The sequence below is a fragment of the Homo sapiens genome, chromosome 5 (assembly GCF_000001405.40).
Source record: "Homo sapiens chromosome 5, GRCh38.p14 Primary Assembly".
Taxonomy (NCBI): domain Eukaryota; kingdom Metazoa; phylum Chordata; class Mammalia; order Primates; family Hominidae; genus Homo; species Homo sapiens.
Window position 1 is genome coordinate 113,511,536 of NC_000005.10, and position 24,903 is coordinate 113,536,438.

The 24,903-nt window shown below is 36.0% G+C and overlaps 1 protein-coding gene and 1 long non-coding RNA gene across 13 annotated transcripts in view, besides 4 other annotated features; one reads left to right on the forward strand and one right to left on the reverse strand.

The window, feature by feature from the left end:
• Nucleotides 324-2,123, reverse strand: LOC124901046 (uncharacterized). Its single transcript, XR_007058905.1, has 2 exons — nucleotides 1,896-2,123; nucleotides 324-1,405 (listed from the first exon to the last, which is right to left on the reverse strand). It is a non-coding gene; the product is annotated as an uncharacterized LOC124901046 (long non-coding RNA).
• Nucleotides 1,915-1,964: an enhancer, noted in NCBI's record as "active region_22921". NCBI's record gives its function as "activates an Ori minimal core promoter by ATAC-STARR-seq in GM12878 lymphoblastoid cells {active_cell/tissue: GM12878}" and the evidence as "EXISTENCE:reporter gene assay evidence [ECO:0000049][PMID:35858748]".
• Nucleotides 1,961-2,462: an enhancer, noted in NCBI's record as "H3K27ac hESC enhancer chr5:112849193-112849694 (GRCh37/hg19 assembly coordinates)". NCBI's record gives its function as "activates a minimal SCP1, AML or CMV promoter by ChIP-STARR-seq in naive H9 embryonic stem cells {active_cell/tissue: H9 hESC(naive)}" and the evidence as "EXISTENCE:reporter gene assay evidence [ECO:0000049][PMID:30033119]".
• The window catches only part of YTHDC2 (YTH N6-methyladenosine RNA binding protein C2), an 81,591-nt gene continuing 58,846 nt past the window's right edge, over nucleotides 2,159-24,903 (forward strand). For 8 of the 12 annotated variants that reach the window (XR_246540.4, XR_948288.3, XR_001742200.3 and 5 more), the window contains exons 1-7: nucleotides 2,159-2,547; nucleotides 3,737-3,827; nucleotides 13,446-13,642; nucleotides 15,051-15,250; nucleotides 21,344-21,510; nucleotides 22,770-22,872; nucleotides 24,107-24,263. Coding sequence is in view for 9 of the 12 variants with exons in the window: in XM_047417527.1 (XP_047273483.1) it covers nucleotides 2,361-2,547; nucleotides 3,737-3,827; nucleotides 13,446-13,642; nucleotides 15,051-15,250; nucleotides 21,344-21,510; nucleotides 22,770-22,872; nucleotides 24,107-24,263 (1,102 nt within the window). In the remaining 3 variants the exon portion in view is untranslated. Of the gene's footprint in view, nucleotides 2,548-3,735; nucleotides 3,828-13,445; nucleotides 13,643-15,050; nucleotides 15,251-21,343; nucleotides 21,511-22,769; nucleotides 22,873-24,106; nucleotides 24,264-24,903 lie in introns of those variants that run through there. The other 4 variants (NM_001345975.2, NM_001345976.2, XM_047417528.1 and 1 more) reach the window with 4 other exon arrangements.
• Nucleotides 2,415-2,644: a silencer, noted in NCBI's record as "silent region_16243". NCBI's record gives its function as "represses an Ori minimal core promoter by ATAC-STARR-seq in GM12878 lymphoblastoid cells {active_cell/tissue: GM12878}" and the evidence as "EXISTENCE:reporter gene assay evidence [ECO:0000049][PMID:35858748]".
• Nucleotides 8,954-9,154: a silencer, noted in NCBI's record as "peak5423 fragment used in MPRA reporter construct". NCBI's record gives its function as "represses an SCP1 promoter by STARR-seq MPRAs in K562 erythroleukemia cells {active_cell/tissue: K562}" and the evidence as "EXISTENCE:reporter gene assay evidence [ECO:0000049][PMID:32103011]".

Consider the following 24,903-nt stretch of genomic DNA (forward strand, 5'->3'; position numbering starts at 1 on the left):
TGAGCTGCCTCTCTGGCCTTCCCTTGGGAAAGTAGCACAGGCCATTCTGTTCCAGGATCTCCCACACCATTCAGGGTTTTTGTTTTGTTCTCCCCAAGAGAAGCAGGGCTCAGGATCCTTTTTGGCAACTTACTGGTGTATTACTATGTGACTTTTTCCAGTTCCAGAGAACCGAAACCAACTTAAGACAATATTTCCCCAAATAATAACCCCTAAATGACCTGGCTGAACAAGAGAGAAAGGGATGGAGGGCTGGCAAAGTAGGGGTGATGAGGGGGCAAAGGGTGGGAGGAAATATCCCTAGCATCAATAATAAAATCATGTTGGTTATATTTTAAGACTTTATTACTCTACCAGGTCAATTTTATAGATGAGAAGAGAGCAGTCTCCAGACCACTGTGCTGTGGCATGCTCGTATGCCACAAGTTGTTTACAGGCATATCAAGATGTTGATGACCCCAGTTCTTAGGCAACTGGGTACAAACTGGAACGGGTGAAGCTAGTTCTTTCAGCCTAGTCACTTATGCCCAAGATCAGCCTTATCATTGTACAAATATATTAGTCAGAATAAGCTAACTCTTTGTATCAGTTATCTACTGCTGTGTAAGAAACCCAACCTAAAACTTAGTGGCTTACAGCAATATTCATTTTATTTGTTTATGTGTTCTGTGGGTCAACAGTTTGGACTATGTTTAGCTAGGTGGTTTTGCTAATCTTGCTTTGGGTTGCTTACAGAGTTGTGGTCATCCAGCAGCTTTTCTAAGACTAGACTTTCCATTATGGCCTTTTTCACGTCTTGCCCTTGGTGCTGGTGGATGATTGGGCCATAGTTGTCAGTGGGCTAGCCTAAGCTTCTTTACTTTGTGGAAGAAGAATTCTCAGCAGCAAAACAGGCTAAGCCTTAATGCACAAACACCTTTCAAGCCCCTGCTTATCTCGTATTTGCTGATGTCCCAATGGCCAAAGCAAGTTACATAGCCAAAGACAGAGTCCATGTGGGAAGGAAGAATACAAGGGTGTGAACAGAGGAATGTGTGATTCATCAAAGGCCATACCTTTGATGAATTCAACAATTTACCATAATGTTACAAAAAAAAATCTTCCCAAATCTCAGCAGTTTACCACAACTAAGAATTATTTCTTACCCATGTCATATTCCAATGTGGGTTGGTGAGGACACTCTATCACACTCGTTCAGGGAATCGGGAACCTGTTATCTATCTAGTGGTTCCACCGTTGTCTAAGAACTTCCAGAAGACCAGGAAAGACAGAGAAGGGAAGATTCAAGGAAGGTGTTATAGACCAATCCTGGAAGTGGTATACATCAGTTCCAGCAACATTCCAATGGCCGGAACTCAGCCATGTGGCCCCCAGCTAACTGCAGGAGAGTTGGGAAATATAATGCCTAGGAAGAAAAGATACTTCTTGTCACCAAATATTCCGCCCCCTTCTTACCACACACAGAATACACATATACCCTCCCCAGACACCTGGAATTCTATCTAGTCACTGCATCCAGGATCTGTTGTTGATACACAGTCCTCTTTATTAGATCCAGATGTATATCCTCATTGCCAGGTAACTCATGAACTATGTAAATATGTACTACATACCTGCCCCCACTCAGCTACCCTGTGTAGCGTGATAGAGCAAGGGTGGCATACTTGCATTAAAATCTCCCATTCAGAAAAGGGAAGAATGCAAGACACACAACAGTGGCTCATTCTTTAGTATATGTATTTTTTATGATATTTTTCCAAATATTGCATGGGAAATATATACACTAAAAATTATTCGTTTATCTGAAATGCAAATTATTAAGCATTCTGTATTTTTATTTGCTAAATCTGGCAACCCTCCTCCCACTAAAATATAAACTCCATGAAGGTAGGAACCTTGGCTCTCTGGTTCTCCAATGTACATCGAAGGCGTGGCATAATGCCAGGTCCACAGTAGAAGCCCATACATGCTTACTGCAGGAATTAATGAAGGACTAAACGAAGTAGCAAGTGAGTGAATAAGAAGATGAGGAGCGACCCTTGGTGGGCGGCGCGGGAAGAGAACCGCACCATAGCTCCGCAGACAGCCTCCTTTAGGCGCGCAGCGGCGGCCGCGCTGAGGTCACGGGCGCCGGCCCTGGTGACGTCATTACGCCCGCGCTCCTCGCCTGGCCGTGATATCAATGGCGCAGGCTTCACTTCTGCTGTGGCGGTGACTGAGGCCTTTCTGGTGACCTCAGCCCAACACAGGCCGTCTCCGGAGCTTCCCGGTAGTGGCCCCGGATTCCCACGGTCTTTGTCATTGGCTGTCAGCTAGCAGGCCTGGCCGCTCCCGTGCGGAGAGACCATCTCTTCAGGGCAATGTCCAGGCCGAGCAGCGTCTCCCCGCGGCAGCCGGCTCCTGGCGGTGGCGGAGGCGGCGGCCCCTCGCCTTGTGGCCCTGGGGGCGGCGGCCGGGCCAAGGGGCTGAAGGACATTCGCATTGATGAGGAGGTGAAGATCGCAGTCAATATCGCGCTGGAGCGCTTCCGATACGGGGACCAGAGAGGTGAGGTTCCGGACAGGGACCATGCTGGCAGTCAGGATACCCCCCTCACCCCAGCGCCCCCCAAACGGCGGCCCACCGAGTGATGGGGGTGCCTCCGAAGAGGGAGGGAAGACCCGGGCCACCGTCCGGGGCGGGCCTCAGCGGCGGCACCCGGGTCTGGAACGCGGCTGTTGGCCCTGCGGTGGAATGCGAGGTGCTCTGCGGATCAATGGGGTTATGGGCACTTTGCTCCCTAGCTGAAAGTGTTTTTCCCCCGCGTCTTTCAGCAGCCTTGGGCGGTTAAGCCACCGTGTTTCAGATATTGGTTAGCCCTAACCCTTTTTAAGGGGGTGTCACCTAATTGTGGCACGTTTAAGCTACAGATGTAGAAGAGCAGAAAGAAATCAAACATATAAATAAATGCACCAGCAATACGTTTGGACCCTGAAGCATCACGCTACCCACTTAAATTAAACTTGTTTGGCACACGAAGCATCTTCCACACCTCTTGAGGTTAGATAGCCACTTGTCTTGGGTCATATAATGCAGAACCAGCAACTGACCTGCGGTGACCTGTGCAGTCTGTTGAGGGCTCATTCGGACCTGCTGGCTTAGTTAGGGGACCTCTTACTCTGGAATCTTATAGTCCAAAACGGGGAATGTTCTAGACAGAGAGATTCTAAATTCACATTAAAAAAAGAGAAAGCCTCAGCAATATATAACAAATCCCTCTGAAATAGTGAAATACGAATTCTGTACAGTTTTGAAAGCAAAGACAATGGAGTTTCATGTTGAGAATTCATAATATTTGAACATATCTCATCATTGAAGAAAATAAACATTTTGTTAACTAAACAAGTAGGGACCAAGTTAAATATGTTCAGTCATTATACCAACTCAAAATTCCAGAACAAGTAAGAGGAGTCGTTTTTGGTGAATATCAGAGGCCTTTATCACATTTAGGTTTAATACATAGCTGTCTTTTTATTAATATCAGAATTCTGATAGACATTCAGTAGTTATTGAATTAATAAAATATCTTAATTTTATTAATTTACATAAATAGAATATGAAATATAAAGTTAACCTCAAATAAAGTATAATAAATTTGATTGTCTATGTATGTTTTTCATATTTTGTATCTGTGTGTTTTACTTGAGAGAAAATTGCCTATCTACAAATTTTACTACTTTGTTTTTTTTCCGTGTAGAAATGGAATTTCCTTCTTCTTTGACCAGTACTGAAAGAGCCTTTATTCATCGACTCAGTCAGTCTCTTGGTTTGGTCTCTAAAAGTAAAGGGTAAGCTGGTAGCTTTTCTTATTTTTTTTAAAAAAGATTATTTGCCCAAAAAAGGGAGAAACGTTTCTGAGTACATTTAAGTACTTATTACTGTTTTAACTTCACATTCTTAATTGTATCATATGTAGATAAAAGATTCAGGTCTGTACCAAATTCAACTCTTTCCTCTTCCCTCTGTCTACCTCTTCCCCCCTTTTTTGTTTTGTTTTGTTTTTCCCTAGGAAAATGCTTTTTCTTCTACCCAGCTTAGGTTCCTTGGCTGGGACCCTGCAAATTAGACTGATAAAAGACATATTAACAAGAGAAAAACATAAGCTTATTAAGACATGCATCATGCATACATAGGGGAGAACTCGATAGTAACTCAAACATGGGGCTTATGTGGCATCTTAATAAAGAACAATGAATTTATTTAAAAAATGACAAGACAAAGGAAAAGGACTTTGAACTTGTAGGTGCAGTAAATTGTGGGAAGGTATATGTGGGGAAACTAATGGAAGATATGTGTTCTTTTAGCAAGGTTGGTTATGTAGGTTCCCCTGGTGCTGTCTCTATTAAGAGTCTAGAGTGGTTTCTCTTGTTAAGAATAGTCCTTCCCTTTCTGGTAAAGCAGGGGAAGGCGGAGTTTTTCTTATGTCTGCTTCTTCTCGATTGCCTTCAGCTCAAAATAATCCTTATGGCAGAGTGACATATTTTTGGGTGGCATACCGTGAACTCTTTCAAAGGTAAATTTTAAGATGTAAGAAAAAAATAGTTTAAAAGTTGAAGTTGATTGCTTGAGAAAAATATTTTTATTTTTTGATAGAAATCTCATTTGAAAAATGGATGTACAAAAGATAGTTGCAATTATTTATGGAACTTACTTCTTTTACTGTTACTGCAATATAATAATAAGCTTTAGAGCATATGTTCATTGTTTTCTTTCCTACCAAGTCAAGGATCTGATGATTAGAAATGATTTTAAAAAGTGGTACAGGAGGAAATTGTTTTGTTTTGTTGGGAGGATCACAGAGTTACATTGAGGGAAAAGTCATTTGAGCCATCCAAATTGAAAAACTCTAAAATTCTGTGGCGCTATTTCATTTTGTTAATAAGGATGGTGGGATCAATGTAAAGGAAGCTTTCTCACTGTTGGTGCTATTGACATTTTGGACTGGATAATTCTTTATTCTGTTTTGTGTACTGTAGGGTGTTTAACAGCATCCATAGCCATTACTACTACATGCCACTAACACTCCTAACCCCAGTTGTGACAACCAGAGATGCTTCTAGAGGTTGCCAAATGTCCTCTGGAGAGCAAAATTGCTCAGGTTGAGAACTACTGACATAGAGGGAAGAAAAGGATAAAATTTCAGCTTACCGGTATGTTTTTAGGTTAGGAAGAGGGAAAACAAAACTTTATTAAGTAAATATATTAATAAATATTCAGATGGTCCCAAAGTGAAAGCAGCTGATGTAGGAATGTCTTGCATATGACTGCCTACTACAGTGATAAATTACTGAGACACGGGATTTAGTTTAGGTGAATGTGCGTTTTGAACATCACTAAGGCCAGTGCTGGAACAGTGGTTAGATTCCTGAATGTGCCCATCTTATAGTCCACTAGGTAGGTAAAAATACTGCACCTGAAAATAAAAATATAGTTCAGTGCCACAATACTTTATCCAGAAACACTTGGGCTAAATATATTTGAGATTCAGATTTTTTAGACTTTAGAAAGGTATTTGGGTATATTTGCAATATGTTGTATAATCTACCTAATAAAATATGGCCATCACCTTTAGTCACATTTATATTTTTGCTGGAAATTCTATGAATATTCACACTGAGACTATTAATAACCTCATGTCAGTTTAATCACGTGATCACATTTGATGTCAAATGAGGTTACTGCAAACTTAAAAGTTTCCAGTTTTTGGCACTGTTTGGGTTTACTAGTTGCAGGTAAGAGGTTTTGGGCCTGTGCTTGGAAACACATGTTATAAATGTACAGTTCTGTAGCTACATCATTTCTATGGTTACATGGGTCTTGCATTCTAAACAGCTAACTTAGAAAAGCAGTCCATTAGAGTAGACTTCCTGTCCTTCTCTTCAGTAGCATAGTCATGTAAGAGCTGATCTGGAATGAATAGATATCTTGGGAAGGAGAATTCAAGAAGGAAGTTATGGAGACAAAAATGGGGAATGCGGAAACATTGAAGAGCCAGAGAAAGAAGAAAAAGGAAAGAGATGCTAAGGGAAGCAAGGCAATCCTGCCTATTTATCCAGTCCCTAATACCTATAACCTTAATGCTTTCAAACCTTCTTACGAAATACCCTAGCTCCTTCTCTCTTTTTTTCATCTTTGAGTAAACTTTGTACTATATTTTCTTAGTGGTCCTTGTGATTTTCAAATGCCTTTTCTTCTTTTCACAAAAAGAAAGAAATCACTTTGAATCTACTTCTCAAATCCTTTCTTTTCATTTGTATGAGAATTTGTACCTGACTTATCCATGAAATTTTCTGTTCACCCTTTGACTTTATTTTATTTTATTTTATTTTTTTGAGATGGAGTCTTGCTCTGTCACCCAGGCTGGAGTGCAGTGGTACAATCTCGGCTCACTGCAAGCTCCACCTCCCGGGTTCACGCCATTCTCCTGCCTCAGCCTCCCAAGTAGCTAGGACTACAGGCGCCCACCACCACGCCCGGCTAATTTTTTGTATTTTCAGTAGAGATGGGGTTTCACTGTGTTAGCCAGGATTGTCTAGATCTCCTGACCTCGTGATCTGCCCGCCTTGGCCTCCCAAAGTGCTGGGATTACAGGCGTGAGCCACTGCACCTGGCGTTTTTTTGTTTTTTTTTTTTTTTGGAGACAAGGTCTTGCTCTGTCACCCAGGCTTTAGTGCAGTGGAATGATGACGGCTCGCTGCTCACTGCAGCCTCCATCTCCCAGGCCCAATCAATCCTCTCACCTCAGCCTCTTGAGTAGCTGGTACTACAGGCATATGCTACCACACCCAACTAATTTTTCTATTTTTTGTAGAGGACAGCATCTCATTATGTTGCTCAGGATGGTCTTGAACTACTGGGCTCAAGCAATCCTCCCTCATTGGCCTCCCAAAGTACTAAGATTACAGACATGAGCCACTGGGCCCAGCCGATTTTTAAAAAAATAATCTATCGTTAACTTTATTGATTCAGTAAGTTAGTTTTCGTGTGTGTGTGTGTGTGTGTGTGTGTGTGTGTGTGTGTGTGTGTATCTGTAGGTGTCTGATATTATAGTTTCTTAGTACCTATTTGAGAGGCCACCTGGTGTAAAGTGCAGAAAGCCTGGATTCTATTTCCAGTCTCTCATTGACTCATTCTCTTATTTGGGCTTTTTATATAAGTTTTAAAAAATAGATTCCAGACTTATTGTGTGATAGCTTTCAATTTTTTTCTGGTCAATTTTTTCTTTTTGATACTCTTTCTTTCAAAATTATGTCATTTGTGATGGATTTTGTTTTTCATCTTCTAAATAATTGAATTTTACCTGCTTTGATTATTTTTATTTTTTAGAGACAGAGTCTTCCTCTGTTGTCCAGGCTGGAGTACAGTGGCACAATCATAGCTCAGTATGGCCTCAAACGCCTAGGCTCAGGCTTTCCTCGCAAGTAGATAGGACCACAGGCATGCACCACCATGCCTGGCTAATTTAAGATTTTTTTTTTTTTAGAGATGGGGTCTTGCTATGTTGCCCAGCCTGGTCTCAAACTCCTGGGCTCAAGTGATCCTCCTGCCTAGGCCGCCCAAAGTATTGGGATTATAGGCCTGAACTAGTGTGCCTTGGCGCTGTTTTGATTATTTTTTGTAATTGCTCATCTTTTAGTGAAAACATTCTTGGAGTAAAAGCCCCATTTTGTGATTTTTAATATATCCTAAAGTTTTCTTTGAAATTCTAGTCAGGTTTCACATACCAAAAATTTCACATCATTATTTACTTTTTTTCCTCAACTTTAAAGGTTGTGTTTAAAGTCACGCTGAGGTCAGTGTGTTTTAGTCCTAAAGGCTCACTTTTCTAAGTCTTTGGCTTGTTTATAATGAAAACAAAATCCCATCTCGATTTTTCTCAGTCCAAGTTAGACAAAAATGGATTTTACAAAATGAACTTTGTTAAAAATCTGTAGAATGGGAAAATATGAAGTATATGAAAGTAGATTTTCCAAGTACAAGTTTCTTCTGTGACTGCTAAGGTCACTGCCTAACAGGTACCAAATAGAGTACCAAAGTACAGTTCTGGAGGTCAGAAGTCCAACAACAGAGGTCCCATGGACTTAAAATCAAGATATCGGCAGGGCTGCATTCCTTGAGGAGGCAGGAGCAAACATTTACTAAGTGTTGTTGTATACTTGTGCTAGGTGCTTTAAATGGATTATCATTTAATCCTAACAATGGTTTTTTAAAAAATTCATTATATAAATTTAATCAAGATTAGAAATTTACTCACACAAATGCCATTCAGAGGTAATTTAAATCAAAGAGTCAATACACATAATTTCTTTTCTTTTTAATTTTATTTTACTTTAAGTTCTGGGATACATGTGCTGAATGTGCAGGTTTGTTACATAGGTATACATGTGCCCTGGTGGTTTGCTGCACCTATCAACTCATCAGCTAGGTTTTAAGCCCTGCATGCATTAGATATTAGTCCTAATGCTCTTCCTTTCCTTTCCCCCTAATCCCTGACAGGCCCCTGTGTGTGATGTTCCCCCGCTATGTCCATGTGTTCTCATTTTTCAACTGCCAGTTATGAGTGAGAACATGTAGTGTTTGGTTTTCTGTTCCTGTGTTAGTTTGCTGAGGATGATGGTTTCCAGCTTCATCGATGTCCCCGCAAAGGACATGAACTTACTCTTTTTTTATGGCTGCACAATAAACATAATTTTATTTTTACTTCAGTTTTTCCTGGAGAATCAAAGAGAGGGACACCTCCTGTTTTTTATGAAACTAGTATAACTTCGCTACCTAACTCAGATAAAGAAGATATTAGAAATGAAAATTATGGGTTTATCTTACTTATGATCATAGATGTAATATGCTAAATAAAATAAAAAATTAGGTCACATTTAAACTGGGTTTTCCCAAGAATAAAGGATTATTGAAAATAAAAGAATCTCTTTTTTTTTTTTTTCTTTAAATGAGAAGGAGTCAGCATTCTCATATTTGGATGAGGGCCTTTGGTTTGGTGCTGATTCATCTCTGGCCTGGTATTTACCACAAGGGAAAGGATAGACCTTGACCTGAAAGTGGATGACTCCCATGGCCTTAGTGCACTTTTTGTTCACAGAAGTGAGCAACAAGGACCAATGGTTCTTTCTTATACATTAAATGCAGCAGGATGTATGACAGAGCATGCCTCCATTTGTGTACTAGTGTGGATATAGTTTATTTTTCAACTTTTGAGTTCAGAGGTACATGTGCAGGTTTGTTACATAGGTAAGCATGAGTCAAGGGGGTTTGTTGTACAGATTATTTCATCACCCAGGATTAATCCTAGTACCCATTATTTTTCTTAATCCTCTCCCTCCTCCCATCCTTTACCCTCTGATAGACCCCAGTGCCTGTTGTTCACCTCTATGTGTCCATGTGTTTTCATCATTTAGCTCCTACTTACAAATGTGAGCATGCAGTATTTGGATTTCTGTTCTTGGGTTAGTTTGCTAAGGATAATGGCCTTCAGCTCCATCTGTGTTCCTGCAAAGGACATGGTCTCATTCTTTTGTATGGCTGCATAGTATTCCATGGTGTATATGTAGTACCACATTTTATTTATCCAGTCTACCATGGATCATAACAAGTTTTATAAGGCAGAGTCTATTTTAACACCTGGCACCTATATAACAGATGAGGCAATTAAAGCCTAGAGATGTTAAGTAATTTTCCTGAGATCACACAGCTAGCAAGTGGCAGAGCCAGGATTTGAACACAGTTAATACTTAACTAATTATTTTTTGATGTTCACATCAAGTTCATAGCAGTGTAGTAGGTGCTCTGAGGAGTTAGAACAGAAATATTGGATAGATCTCATCTTCAATTTAGCTTATAGTTCATTAAGACCAGAAAAATAGGCTGGGCGCAGTGGCTCATGCTGGTAATCCCAGCACTTTGGGAGGCCGAGGTGGGTGGATCACCTGAGGTCAGGAGTTCCAGACCAGCCTGACTAATATGGTGAAACCCCATCTCTCCTAAAAATACAAAAATTAGCCATGCATGGTGGCGGGCGGCTGTAGTCCCAGCTACTGGGGAGACTGAGACAGGAGAACTGCTTGAACCCAGGAGGCGGAGGTTGCAGTGAGCCGAGATCGTGCCACTGCACTCCAGCCTGGGTAGCAAAGCAAGACTCTGTCTCAAAAAAAAAAAAAGAAAAAAAACCCAGAAAAATAAATTTACTGTAGGCATAGTGACCATGCCTTGAAAGCAAAAAGCAAGACTCTGTCTCAAAAAAAAAAAAAAAAAGAAAAACCCAGAAAAATAAATTTACTATAGGCATAGTGACCATACCTTGAAAGCAGCTGTGCTCAGTTTGGCGACAACATGAAGTGAACTGGTTGGTTTATTAGTTTTTAGGTAATCATAAAAAAGTACAAATTAGTATGATGCAAACTTTACTACATTTCCAATTCTGTATTACAGTATTGGGGAGAAAGTGGTTTGGAGCTAGATCTTTGCATCTGTCTGCCTAATGGAAATATAAATTAAGGGAATATAAAATTAAGTACTTATTAGGCATCAAATGAATGCCTGTTTTTTTTGTTTTTTGTTTTTTTTTTTTTTGGTGGTGGTTGTTGTTTGTTTTTAAGAGACTCCTGGTGTCTGTGAGCTTTTTAAGCAGTCATTTGAGATTTGGGCTCTTCAGCTGATCTTTTAAACTGTTCTTAGATTTACAAGTAGGGAATATTGAAGCATATGTTTGTATTTGATTTAAATGTTTAGTAACATCCTTTTAAATTAGTAAATTGATTAATGTTAACATTGTGTCAAATTTGATTACTTATAGCATCATTTTTCTTTCAAAGGAAGAAGCCATTGAAATGCCAAAATGCATCGGTTACTTTTATTTTTCGAAAGTTAGGTGTTATGATGCTCTCAACTGTAATTTTATTACATTTACTTTTATATTTCAAAATTGCATATGGGGTTTACCTTTTATTTAAAAAACTCTTGTGAATTTCACTTAGCTAGCATCTTTTCCACATGTGCAGCTAGTTTTTAGTTAATTTTGCTTTGTATAAAAGATTCCTGTGTTTATCATCAAACCATAGTTTCGGTTATCTTGGAATGAAAGCATAATAAGGAGTTCTCAATTTGTTAGTTTACGTAGTATGACAAATTTCTACTGTATTTAATGTTTCCATCCTCACAACAATGAGGTGAATATTTTACCAAAAATTTCATTAATCCTTTTATGATATATCAGTGTCACTGTGGTGCTGACTGTGGTAGGAATAATCAGTAAAAGCACAAGTAGACTCCTTTACTAAAACATAAAAATGATCAAGTTGATATTATCTTTCCATTCTACCATATGTGCTCAAACTGAATTCAGTAAATTTTAAATGGTAATGGCTAAGTAGTCCCACCTGCTTATTATGAGGTTTTTTTTAATACCTAAATGCTATATTAGGTAACCTATGTTAGGAAGGTTTCAATCTAACTTATTATTTCAGTTGTGAGCTTGTTGAGAAAGGGTATATTTTACTCCATTTTGTATTCCTGGCTTCTACCACAGTGCCTGGCATAAAGTCAGTGTTTAGTTAATAGATGATAAATGATTGAGTGAATGAATAAAATACAATTAAAGGTGAAATATAGCAAAACCTTTCTGAGATGATTTTTAAGAAAATTAAAGCATCTTTGAGTTCTTAAAAATATGAAGTTTTTAAAATTAACAATTGTACAGTGTCAGAGAAGTAAAATGATTTGCCGTTGATCATGTAACTGCTTGAAAGTTTATTACTAGCTGAATACTAGCCTCCTACCATTTGCTCTGGTGCTCAGTTCAGCTCACTTCCTGCCTTTTGTAGTTAAAATTTTATGAAATGAACATCACAGAAGGGGAATGAATTATTGAGTCTATAATGACTGTCCTTTAGTTTCAGAAAGGTCCGTGGGAAAAGAACCTATTATAGAGAACATTTATGGAATTCAATAATTTGAATTTATCATGGAAATAAGTAAAACTTCTAGATCAGGTTAAATTTTATTTCATCTTTATAGCATCATTTTAAGTACCACCAAGTACTTTTTAAGGAGTAAATAACAACCTAGAAAGCTTAAAATTCATTGAAATATTCAATAAGGAGTTTCCAGAAATCAAAAACCTTGATAAATTGGAAGCCTCACTTAGAAAACTTATATGCTAAAACTGTATAGGTTAATCCCCAGTTTGATATCACTCTTATGGTGAAGATACTGTTGATAAAATTTACATCTAATGAAAATTAGAAAAATTATAAAATTTGCTTTGTAAATTATAAATTTTTCATTGTATTTATGGCTCTGTTGATTATTTCTATAATAGTGACATTAACAAATGGCAAAACATTTTATGAAATATTTTGGGTAACTTAAAATTTAAGAAATAGTATTGTTTCTGACTATAATAATAGTTTTCATTTATTTAGAGTCTACTCTGCAACAGATACTGCACTTTGCATGTATTATCTTAATCATATGAATAATCCTTTGAGATATATATTACTATTGTGTTGGGCTCAGAGCCATTAAGTAGTTTACCTGTAGTGCCACAACTAGTAAGTGGTAGAAGTGGGATTCAAGCTGAGGTCTGTGTGCCTTTGGAGCCTGAGCTCTTAATCAGTATTACACTGCTACATTATAGGCATGTATTATGAAATCATTCAAAACACATCTGGGAAATTCCTGGTATATAACACTATACCTACTACTCTTAGAGCCGCAGAAGTCATGAAAGATATGCTCAGTCCTGGACCAGTTGAGGAAACAATATACCTACAGTAAATAACTTGAACAGTTACAAATCATCATTACCTTATAATTGAAGAGTAGAACCAGAAGCTTTGAAAAATATTTTATTAAAAATGCATCTGAAATTATTTATCAGTAATGCTGATTTATGCTTTTTTGGTCCAACCATGAAACTTGGCTCTCTTAACAGGTTTTCATGGGAGTGTCTCATTACCAACATACTGTGGAAGCATTCACTGGGACATATTAGTCTGAACTATAGACCATAACTTTTTCATTATCATTTTTAGGTTCTATTGTTCAGATTGATTTTCCCCCTCTGTATGCTTCCCAGCATGTATCATATTAACTGGTGATGTTTCATCTACCATGAAGTCTGCTAAAGACAAACTTTAACACTTAAGGGTAAGTAAGCCTTTTTAGTGGACTTAAAATTGGATTTACAGCACTTGAAATTTTAATTGAAAATAGTTTTATGGCCACTTTAGCCCAAATCTTTCTTTACTGAATTTTTTTGGACTTTCAGCATCTTCTCCCAAAGCATTTTGATTTTTTTCAGTGTTTTGCTTGAGACATATTTTCTAAGTGGGCATACATCATATGTGAACAAGTTGACTTTATATAGTAAATAAATGATTTTTATTAATATTCAGAAAGGGAGCAAATAGATACCTAACTGTGAAGAAGAAAGATGGATCAGAAACAGCTCATGCAATGATGACCTGTAATTTGACTCATAATACAAAACATGCTGTTAGGAGCCTAATTCAAAGATTTCCTGTCACCAATAAAGAGCGTACAGAACTTCTGCCTAAAACAGAAAGAGGAAATGTGTTTGCAGTTGAAGCTGGTATGTATTTTCTGGGGAGCTTCCTCATTTACCCTATTATTTGATGACTGTTCTTTTTCCATTTTAGATTTATTTTCGAAAACCAAGATGAAATAAGATTTCTCAATTGGAATAGTTTGTTAGAAATGATTAAGAGTTGTAAAAATTTGAAACAAAGTGCAGTGTTAAAGCATGTCATTAAGTTGAACCAAGTTTTTTTTTTTAGTATTAATAATAATATCAATAGCTACCATTTACTGAGCATTAACTGTGTATGAGGCAGTATACAAAACCCTTTATATGGGGCCTCCTAGCAACCTTTGCAAGGTAAGAATTTCCCCTATTTCACAGGTGAAGAAACTGAGGCTTAGAGGAATTAAATAATTCATTCGAGGACACCAAACCAGCCAATAAACTGCAGAGCGGGTATTTGACTCCAGGGACTAGACTTTCCTATATTATGCTGCCATAACACACTAATAAGTGAGATTTTGAACTGGGGCTTTAGCTCTGGTAAGAGATTGGACAGAGTCTTCAGTACATTAAGTTGCTCAAAAGTAGGTAGATAATGTATTTGGGTTATAAAATAAAGATGTAATTTTACTATTTGGAAAGATCACTTCCCTATTAAGAAAACTATTTATTGCCTATAGTGATAAAATTTACATAGTTATTATTGTCTATTGGAATAGATCAGCAGAATATAGAAAATATGTGGTCCTAGATATCAAAGAACTTTCACTTTAAATATAGGCACACAAACATATTTTGAGCTACATGAATATAAAACATTTCATACCTCTTCTTTATTCCTATCTGTTTAGTTAAATGTGGATGTTGGCTAAAATACGCCATTAGGAAATTTGTTAACATTAGGACCTTTATATTTAACACATAATTATTCTATTTGATCACTTAATCTTACATGTATAGCATTAAACATATATGGGATATTTTCTTTTTTTTGTAATATGTTTTCGTAATGTACGTGACAGATCTTATAAGTATAATGTACATTATTTCCTACTACAAAAATTTAATTTTCCATGAAATTATTGATAGAAATTTATAACAAGCCTAAAAATCATCTAGATTATCAAGATTGTTTTATTTTTAATGGTTATTGAATGATTTATTTTTATCAATTTTTAAACATTATGTACCAGAAATATGTCTGAGGTTCACTTTCTAATTGATATTGAAATTTTGTAACATGTTCAATGAGAATATTATGTGTAAGAGTACAATTGAGATATTGCTTGACAACTTTATGTAGACTGAGTAGAGAAGAAAACATTTGAAAGGAATTATGTTAGAAATTATGTCTTTTGGCATGTTTTTCTAGGTTTGGCAAAAAAAATTACTTATTTTTAACACTTCTTTTTCCGTGTTGATCATACATTTTTTGTTCTTTTATTCATTTTCAAAGAAAACCGGGAAATGAGCAAGACAAGTGGGCGACTCAACAATGGCATACCTCAGATTCCAGTGAAAAGAGGAGAATCCGAATTTGATTCTTTTAGGCAGTCTTTACCAGTGTTTGAGAAACAGGAAGAAATTGTTAAAATAATTAAGGAAAATAAAGTAGTTTTGATTGTAGGAGAAACTGGGTCTGGAAAGACCACACAGGTTTGTTTCTTTTTTGTTGTTTATAGAAAAAAAAAAAAAAAATATATATATATATATATATATAGTCCCATATTATAATTTTATATCAAATTTACACTGCATATGTTTAAAAAAACAGAAAAAGAAACTTGTGGTTATTATAGTAATGGTTATTTCAGAAGTAAATTACTACTGGAATATATTTGGAGAATTTGTAGAAAGAAAATGTTTTAAATAATTTACTTATTTTTAAACTAGTGCATTAGGCCTTTATTTAAACAGAGTTGGGAAACTGATTTGGTATCATGGAAAGAAGATGGGCTTTGGCCTTGAATTTAGATTCCAGTTCCCTCAGTTATTGAAGTTCCAGGCTCTTTTTGTAACCTCTGTGAGCCAGAGTTCTCATTTATAAAATGGGACTAATCATTGCTACCTTTCACAGTGAGGTGTAGAGATTATCTCTGTAAAGTGCCTAGCATAGCATTTTGCATATAGGAACCAAAGTAAAAGCAGTAATAACAAATATTAATATAAAGTTGACTGTAGAATGGAATTAATATGATAGGTTTGACTTGCATTTTTAGAATCAAAGTACCTCCTTATGAAGTTTTACTCATAGGATAACAGATTGGAAGTAGTAAGTATGACATCATATGACTCTTGTGTACATTCTTGCGGCATTTCAGCTTAAAATTACTAAAATTAGTTTGCTTTTAATAGAGGTTCAGATAAAATAATAAATAGAATATTTGTAGGTTTTCTTCTTTTAGGGACATAATTTTGCTTTTGACAATTGCCTAAAATTTCCTGTGATTATATTGGTTAGTTTAATAGGCTTAGTAGATAAGGCAAGGTGGGAGGAGAAGTTGAGTATAAACTTTACCAGTTTTTTACTTGAAGGACTTAAACATTTTTACAGAATTATATCTGTTTATCCTTAAAACTTGATCCTGTAAAACTGAATAATTAAAAACATGATGAAATTTTTTTCTGAAGACTATACAAGATCTTTCTTTAGCATGAGTTTGTTTTTTATTTTTTTGAGACCAAGTCTCTGTCTGTCACCCAGGCTGGAGTGCAGTGGTGCTATCTCGGCTTACTGCAACCTCAGTGCCTCCCAGGTTCAAGCGATTCTCCTGGCTCAGCCTCCTGAGTAACTGGGATTACAGGCACCCGCCACCACGCCTGACCCAGCATGAGTGCTTTTATGATTAAGTGAAATTCCATGGAGTTACTCCAGAGAATTTGTTTAGCTGTCTTAGATTGTTATAATTTTTTTAGGGTGAGTAATTTTGCCATTAAGTATTAATTGTAGCAGTTCTAATTATATAGAATAGAGATTATGGAAGTTTCGATAAAATGTAATAAATAGGTCTTTGTTTAAATTATTTGAATGTCCTTGCTAATGATATCTATATATGAGAATTATGGATGCCTGTTTTCAACAGTTATGTGTATCATTTTACTAGATATGAAAGGATACTTGTGAATTTAATTCGTAAATATTATACTCTTTGCTTTTTAAGAAGAAACTGTTAATTTAATGAGTTCAAACCTGAGAAATAATTTTGTCCTATTTAAAGAGTTAATTAAAATACTAATGTTTTTATTCTTTGAAATATAAAACAGAATGTAAGTAGTATTTTATCTTGCCTTTAATGGTATTAGGAAGTTAAGTGCTTTTTGAATATTTTTTCTTATTTGTGTTCGTTGTGTGAAACTTGAACATTGTGGAAAATATTTTATAGAAGGTGGAAGATTTTTTTTTTTTCTTTTGCGACAGCGCTTCACTCTGTCGCCCAGGCTGGAGTGCAATGGCGTGCAGCCTCCACCTCCTGAGCTCCAGCAATTCTCCTCCCTCTGCCTCCCAAGTAGCTAGGACTATAGGTGCATGCCACTATGCCCAGCAAATTTTTAAATTTTTTGTAGAGACGAGGTTTCAACATGTTGCCGAGGCTGGTCTTTGACTCCTGGGCTCAAGCGATCCACCTGCCTTGGCCTCCCAAAGTACTGGGATTACAGGCATAAGCCACCATGCCTGGCCAGAAAATGAAAGATTTTAAATTCTCCTGCCACCCTGTGTCACTGCATTACTGTCAGAATCTCCAAATATATGCTCGTGGGTTTTTGTTTGTTTGTTTGTTTGTTTTTGGTGGTAGTGGTGGTGGGGGGTTTGTATGTTTTGTTTTTGTTCTCTTTACAGCATTGTTATATATTGGTTTTTTAACATAGGCTAAGAACACATAATTTTGCATCTTGATTTTTTTTTCACTTAACAGATTTGGATATTTTTCCAAGTCAGTGCCTATAGATATGCCTCATTGTCTAAACAACTGCATAGTATTCGTGAACATTTTTGTTATGATAATAAACATTGGTGAAAAATGACACTTTACTGTTTGCTGAGTTATGTAAGAGTTGTCTCATTTCAGCTTCTCAATAATTTCAAGACATGGAGGTTTTATCTTTTTACAGATGAGGAATACAAATTAAAATTTACGGATGTTAATCTACTCTAGTTAACATGGCTAAGAAGTGATAGAGTAGGAATCTTTCTCTTATATTGTACTTACTTGTATCCTAATATTTCTTTGCTTATTTGTAGGAATGTTTCAATAGGATAAATTTCCTAGAAGTGGAAATGCCAGATCAAGGATATGGCAGTTAAAAATTTTGATAGCTAGATTCACTGGTTATTGTTCCATCACTCTAAAAAAGAGTTAACATCTTTCTGTACTGAAAGTATTGAAAGTTCTTGTTTCTCTAAAGCTTGGGCAAGAATGGATATAATTATTTAAACATTTATCAAGCTGATAAGCTTGATAAATCATATTTTAACTTGCATTTTGTTGATTCTTAGTTATCTTTTATTTGCCTCTTATCTGTTTATCTTCTATGAGTTCCTTATTTTTATTCTTTTTGGCTTATTAATTTTTGATTTATTTTTTAGAGTGCTTTATTATATATTATAGATGCATGTCTGTTGACTGTTAAACATCTTAAAAATAATTTCTCCCAATTTTTTGTTTACTTTTTACCTTTGTTTATGGTATCTTGTTCAGTAGTTTTACATTTTTATTTAGTCAGATCTGTCAATATTTTTCTAGGGCTTTGGGGCATGTTAAGAGAGGCATTTCCTACCCTAAGATTAATGGACATTTTCTGTATTTATTTATGTAGAGGTGGGGTATCACTATGTTTCCCAGGCTGGAGTGCAGTGGCTATTCACAGAGTTGATTATAGCTCACTGTAGCCTTGAACTCTTGGCCTCAAGGGATCCTCCTGCTTCTGCCTCCTAAGTAGCTGGAACTATAGGTGCATACCACCACACCTGGCTCTTCCTATAAATATTTTATTCTAATAGTTTTATATTGTTTAAAAAATTCATCTGAAATTTATTTTATTGTATTATATCAGGTAGGAATTTTACTTTTTCTTCATGTTATTTCCAGCTCAAATATAACTTTTATTTAAAAATCTGTCCTTCCCCCGACCTCCCCTACCCAATTTAAGAGGCTATTTTTGACCAAATACTGTCTATAGTACCAGTGTCTATTTCTAAAATTTTTCTTATGTATCTTTAATCTCATTATCTCTTCCTGCACTAGGATTCTGCTTTTTGTTGTTTACAGTGTGAGCATAATATTCTTCTTCATTATATTTTACCTTTTTTAGTGGTTGCCCTAGAGTTTGCAGTATACATTCACAACTAAACCAAGTCCACTTTCAAATAACACTATACCACCTTACAGGTAGTGCGAGTACCTTAAATAACAAAATAACCCTAATTCCTCCCTCCTGTCCCTTGTATCATTGCTGTCATTCATTTCACTTATATGTAACCATACATAAACATACATGTACACACACATAAGATATATACATAATCAGCTACATTGTTGCTATTACTATTTTGAACCAATTGTTATGTGTTAGATCAATTAAGACTACAAAAAATAAAAGTTAAAAAAATTTTTTTTTTTTACCTCCATTTATTCCTTCTTTAGTGTTCTTTCTTTCATTATGAAGATTCAAGTTTCTGGCCTATGTTATTTTTCTTTCTCTGTAAAGAACTTAAAAAAAACATTTCTTGCAAGGCTGTAGTCTACTGACAACAAATTCCCTCAATTTGTATTCATCTGAGAAAGTCTTCATTTCTTCTTCATTTTTGAAGGATAGTTTTGCAAGGTACAGAATTCTAGGATGGTGTTTTTCTTCCCGCCCCCCAACTCCTTCTCTCCGCTCTTTTCTTGCATAGTGTCTGAGGAAAACTTGGATGTAATTCTTACCTTGGCTCCTTTGTAGGTAAGGGTTTTCCCCCCACTCTGGCTTCTTTTAGGATTTTTCAGAAGATCTCTTTGATTTTCTGTAGTTTGAAAATGATACACTTATCTTCTCTTTTAAAATATTTGTTGGTGGTACTTACGCATTTATGCTTCTGTATGCTGGGTTCTGACCCGCAGATCCTGACCCAGTGATGGATGAGAGACATACACTGACACAGATATTTTGCCTGTCAGTTAGGCTGAGGGGCTGGGCCACTCACAGACACTGAGGAAGGTGCTGTAAAGAGTTGTAGCTGCGGTCCCATCAGCCAGCGAAGCTCACATTTATTCAGTATAGATTAAATGACAAAGGTCTTGAGTAGACACCACTAGAGGGTAATTGACATTGCCTACCTCCTGAGTAGAGAGCAATTATGTGGTCCTAAGACCAATTAAAGGTTGGTCTTAGGACCACATGAGTAAACAAGCTGTTTAGATAAACTCCTCTGTGTCTACGAGCTCAGCTTTTAAGAGAATTCAGCTGCCTTCAGCCAAACACTTTATGCAACCCCCAGGCATTCCAAGAGGGTTTTTGTTTATTTCCTATAATTTTACAATTTCTCTCATCATCCTGACCGAGCCCCCACATCTGGATGAACTAGTCAAGTTTAAAAAAAAAAATCCTAGGGGCCAGCACATGTATGAAAAGATGTTTTCTTTTACTCACAGTTTAAAAAATGAAAATAAAAACAGTTATATTTTTTAACTATAAGATTGGCAGAAATTAAAAAATTGATGGTACCAAGTATTTGTATGGGTGTTGGAAGGCAGCTCTTCTGCTTTGTTGGTAGGAGTATAAATTGTTTTGGGGAGCAATTTGATAATTTTTTTACTCTAAATTAAAAATTTATTTACTCCATGACTCAGCATTTTCACTACTAGTGATTTCACTGCTACTACATATATCTTTCTAAAACTCTGGAGATAGGTGTTTACTGCAGTGTTGTTTATAATATCAAGCAACAACATCAATAACAAACCTAGAAAACTGGAAATTACTTAAATGTTTAATCATTTGTTAAATTATAGCATATCCATGAGATGGAATATGCAGCTGTTAAAATGGGCTAGGTAGATCTGGTATGTTATGTGAAAACTGCAAATTACGGACATTAAGTACAGTCATCACTTTGCATGGATAAAAATCATGCTTATATACACAAATATTCTGGGTTGTGTAAAACTTTTTTTTTCTTGAAAGATTTCATAAGTAACAGTAGTTACTTTTTTGGAGAAGATATAAGGGCATTGGTGGCAGGGAGTAGGTAAGATTTTGATTTTAAATCGTTCCAACCTGTTTGAATTTTATTTATAAAAAGGTATCTACAATCCTGGATTATAGACTATTTTTGTTTTTTAACGCTTTTCATTATTTAAAAAATCCCAGTGGAATTTTAATTTTTATTTTATTGACTTTATGGAATAATTTGGGGAGAAGTTAACATTTTTACAGCATTGATTATCCCCATCCATGAATATGGCATATTTTCTTTATATATTCAGGTCTTCTTTTATGTTTTTCCAGTAGCATTTTATAATCTTCATGTAAACCTTAAATATTCCTGGATATATTTGATTTTAGATATTTTAGCTTTAGTTTCTATTGTGAGCAAGATCTTTTCAAATTACATTTTTTAGCTGATTACTAGTTACATGAATGTTGTTGATTTTATGATTATATTTGGACTTGTTATAGAACTTCAATTCTAGTGGTTTTTCAGTTGATTCACTTAGATTTTTTGTATTATGTGATCATGTCATCTTACAGTTTTTAAAACTTTTGTTTCAGATTCCTCAGTTCCTTTTAGATGATTGCTTTAAAAATGGTATCCCCTGCCGTATATTTTGTACTCAACCAAGACGATTGGCAGCTATCGCTGTGGCTGAAAGAGTTGCCGCAGAGAGACGGGAAAGGATTGGTCAAACAATTGGTTATCAGATCCGATTAGAAAGCAGGTAAAAACAGTTCTCATGTATCTTCTCTTTTATCATGCTTAAAAAAGACTATGTATATTTCACTAAAAATAGAGGATGTGTTCGTTGAAAAGTTAGGTGATCATTTTGCTCCAAGTAAGTCTACATCAAGATATTAAAGTCATGTCTAAATCTAGAGTAGTATTGAATGAAGAGTTTGAAAAAGACTTTGAACCATAGATAAAAATTCCATTTCAGGCGGGACGCGGTGGCTCATGCCTGTAGTCCCAGTACTTTGGGAGGCCGAGGCGGGTGGATCACCTGCGGTCAGGAGTTCGAGACCAGCCTGACCAACATGGAGAAACCCTGTCTCTACTAAAAAAAAAAAATACAAAATTATCCGGGCTTGGTGGTGCATGCCTGTAATCCCAGCTACTCGGGAGGCTGAGGCAGGAGAATCGTTTGAACCCGGAAGGCGGAGGTTGTGGTGAGCTGAGATCGCACCATGGCACTCCAGCCTGGGCAACAAGAGCGAAACCGTCTCAAAAAAAAAAAAAAATTCCGTTTCCTAGTTTCATGATCATAGTTATTTTACCTCTTTGAGCCTCAGTGTTCTTATCTATAAAATGAGTCAAAGAAAAGCATCTAGAGTACAGGTTTGATGTGAAGTTTATAGTGAACACTCAATAACTGTTAGTGAATTTATTATCAGTAGTAGTATAAATTGAGCATCTTAAATCCAAAAATCTGAAATCCAAGATGCTAAAAAATCTAAAACTTTTTGAGTGCCAACATGACACTCAAAGGAAATGTTCATCAGAGGATTCTGGATTTACGATTTTCAGATTTGGGATGCTCAACTGGAGGTATTCTAAAATCTGGAAAAATCTGAAACCTAAAACCCTTTCTGTCTCGAGCATTTTGGATAAGGAATACTCAGTATATGTAGTATTAGTAATGCCTTCTTGACAAGTAGTACTTTTTTTATTCTCAGTGGTGATTAAAAAATCTGATTCCATTTGTAACATACTTTAGCTGCAAGCAAAAAGTATTTAAGGTTTTGTTTTGTTTTTAGAGCAGCTTAGGTTCTTTAACAAAATACATCATTTAATATAAAAGGCTATTGTCAGGCAGTCTCACATAACTGCAAAACCTCATAGCTTTACTAATAAACTGTACATACCGGTACACTATTAGTAATATTTATTAAAATGTGTACGAGGCCAGCATTTAATGTGATTATATTTTAGTTACATGAAAAACTTGCAATTGTGCACTTTGTTTTGCTTTTTTTTTAAAAGGGTTTCTCCAAAGACACTTCTGACATTTTGTACTAATGGGGTATTGCTTCGTACATTGATGGCAGGAGATAGTACGTTGTCGACTGTGACACATGTTATCGTGGTAAGAATATTGCTGAATTTGTCATATGTAACTCAGATTGCTTAAAATTTAAATACATATGCCGTTTCAGGATAGTCTCAAAAAATTTAAATACATAATTACATTTTTGGAATAGGGTAGAAAAGAGAACCAACTTATTCTTTTGAACAGGCTGTAATGATCAATTTATTTTTTGTCTATAATTATTAGAAATATTTTGTATTACAAAAATAATAAAGCCATTAGGCTTTATTGAGGGAAAATAAAATAAGCAGGTAGTTTTAAAAAATGTGCTTTTCATATATGAAAATGATGCATGCACTTAGAGTTCTCAAAAAAAAGGGAGATTTCTTTTATCTCTATACTTGGTTGTTTGATCCCTTCATTAATATCATATATTTCCCAATGATAGGGGTATACTAATAAACTCCATGATTAAGCTGCTAAATTAACTAACTGCTGATGAACTAAGTTGATGAGTTTACCCCTTTGTTAAGGAATTCTAAGCTTTTACCTAGTTTGTGTCAAAAAAAATTAGATTAAGTTTTATAAACTTGGAATAAGCAGCTTTTAGAAACTTACCCAAACCAAAGGATGCACTTCATAAGCTCTGATGCTAAAAGAAACGTATTTACATAGATTTTTTATGTATTAAAAGCACATTAAATTGGACTTTACTTATAATTTTTTGTAGTTTTATATTTTGTGGGAAAAAAGGGCAATATAGACAGCTCTCTGTATCTGTGGGTTCCATGACTATGGATTCAAACAACTGCAGGTTGAAAACATTTAAAGAAATATTGTGTGTCTGTTGAACATGTACAGACTTTTCTTGTTGTTATTCCCTAAAGAATACAGTGTAACTATTTACCTAGCATTACACTGTACTAGGTAATATAGGTAGTCTAGAGATGATTTAAAGTATATGGAAGGATTTGCATAGGATATGTGCAAATACTATGCCATTTTTTTTTTTAATCAGGGACTTGAGCATCCATGAATTTTGGCATGGGGGAAGGCCCTGGAACCATTCACCCACAGATGCCAGGGGACAACTTTACTTTGTCATCTGCATTTCATTGTTAATGTCTAATTATTTCTGAAATTCCTGTAATACAAAATTTTCATGAATATTGATTGGCCTTGTCCACATTTAATTTGAATTAGTGTAAAACCCAGTGGTGCCATTGTTTTTAAAGACTTAGTCATCAATAATGTTTTAACTGTTCCATGGTTTTATTTCTGTTTACTATAGGATGAAGTGCATGAAAGGGATCGATTTAGTGATTTTTTACTTACAAAGTTAAGAGATTTGTTGCAAAAGCACCCAACTTTGAAACTAATTCTTTCTAGTGCTGCCTTGGATGTAAATCTCTTTATAAGATATTTTGGAAGTTGTCCAGTGATATATAGTAAGTTAAATTGTCAGATTTCTTCTATAATTTTTATGAAAGAACACTTTTGGACATTATTTATCCTAACAGAAACTGGGGAATGTTCTGAAGTAGAGGCCATCTATTACCGTTCCACCTGAGATAGGCTTAATTGTCACTTCTTTCTGTTTTCAACTTCTCCTTTTCTATCAACAGCTCTTTGGTATTGTGTAGTGAGCCTAATTCTCTTACCTTAAAAGGAAATATGCTTTATTTTCACTTTGTGTTCCTTCTTAAATTGTCCTATAACTATTTCCCTTTATTGGTAGATATCTTTGAAAAGTAGTCTATACTCCCATGTTTTACTTCACATTCACTTCTGAAAATGCTAAAACAACTTTTGCCCTTGTCCTTTATTAAAAACGGATTTTGCCACCAGTCTTTAAAAAAATGATAAATTCCTCTTCAAAAAATACAAAAGTTAGGCCGGGCGTGGGGGCTCACGCCTGTAATCCCAGCACTTTGGGAGGCCAAGGCAGGTGGATCACGAGTTCAGGAGATGGAGACCATCCTGGCTAACACAGTGAAACCCTGTCTCTACTAAAAATACAAAAAATTAGCCAGGCGTGGTGGCACGCACTTGCAGTCCCAGCTACTCGGGAGGCTAAGGCAGGAGAAT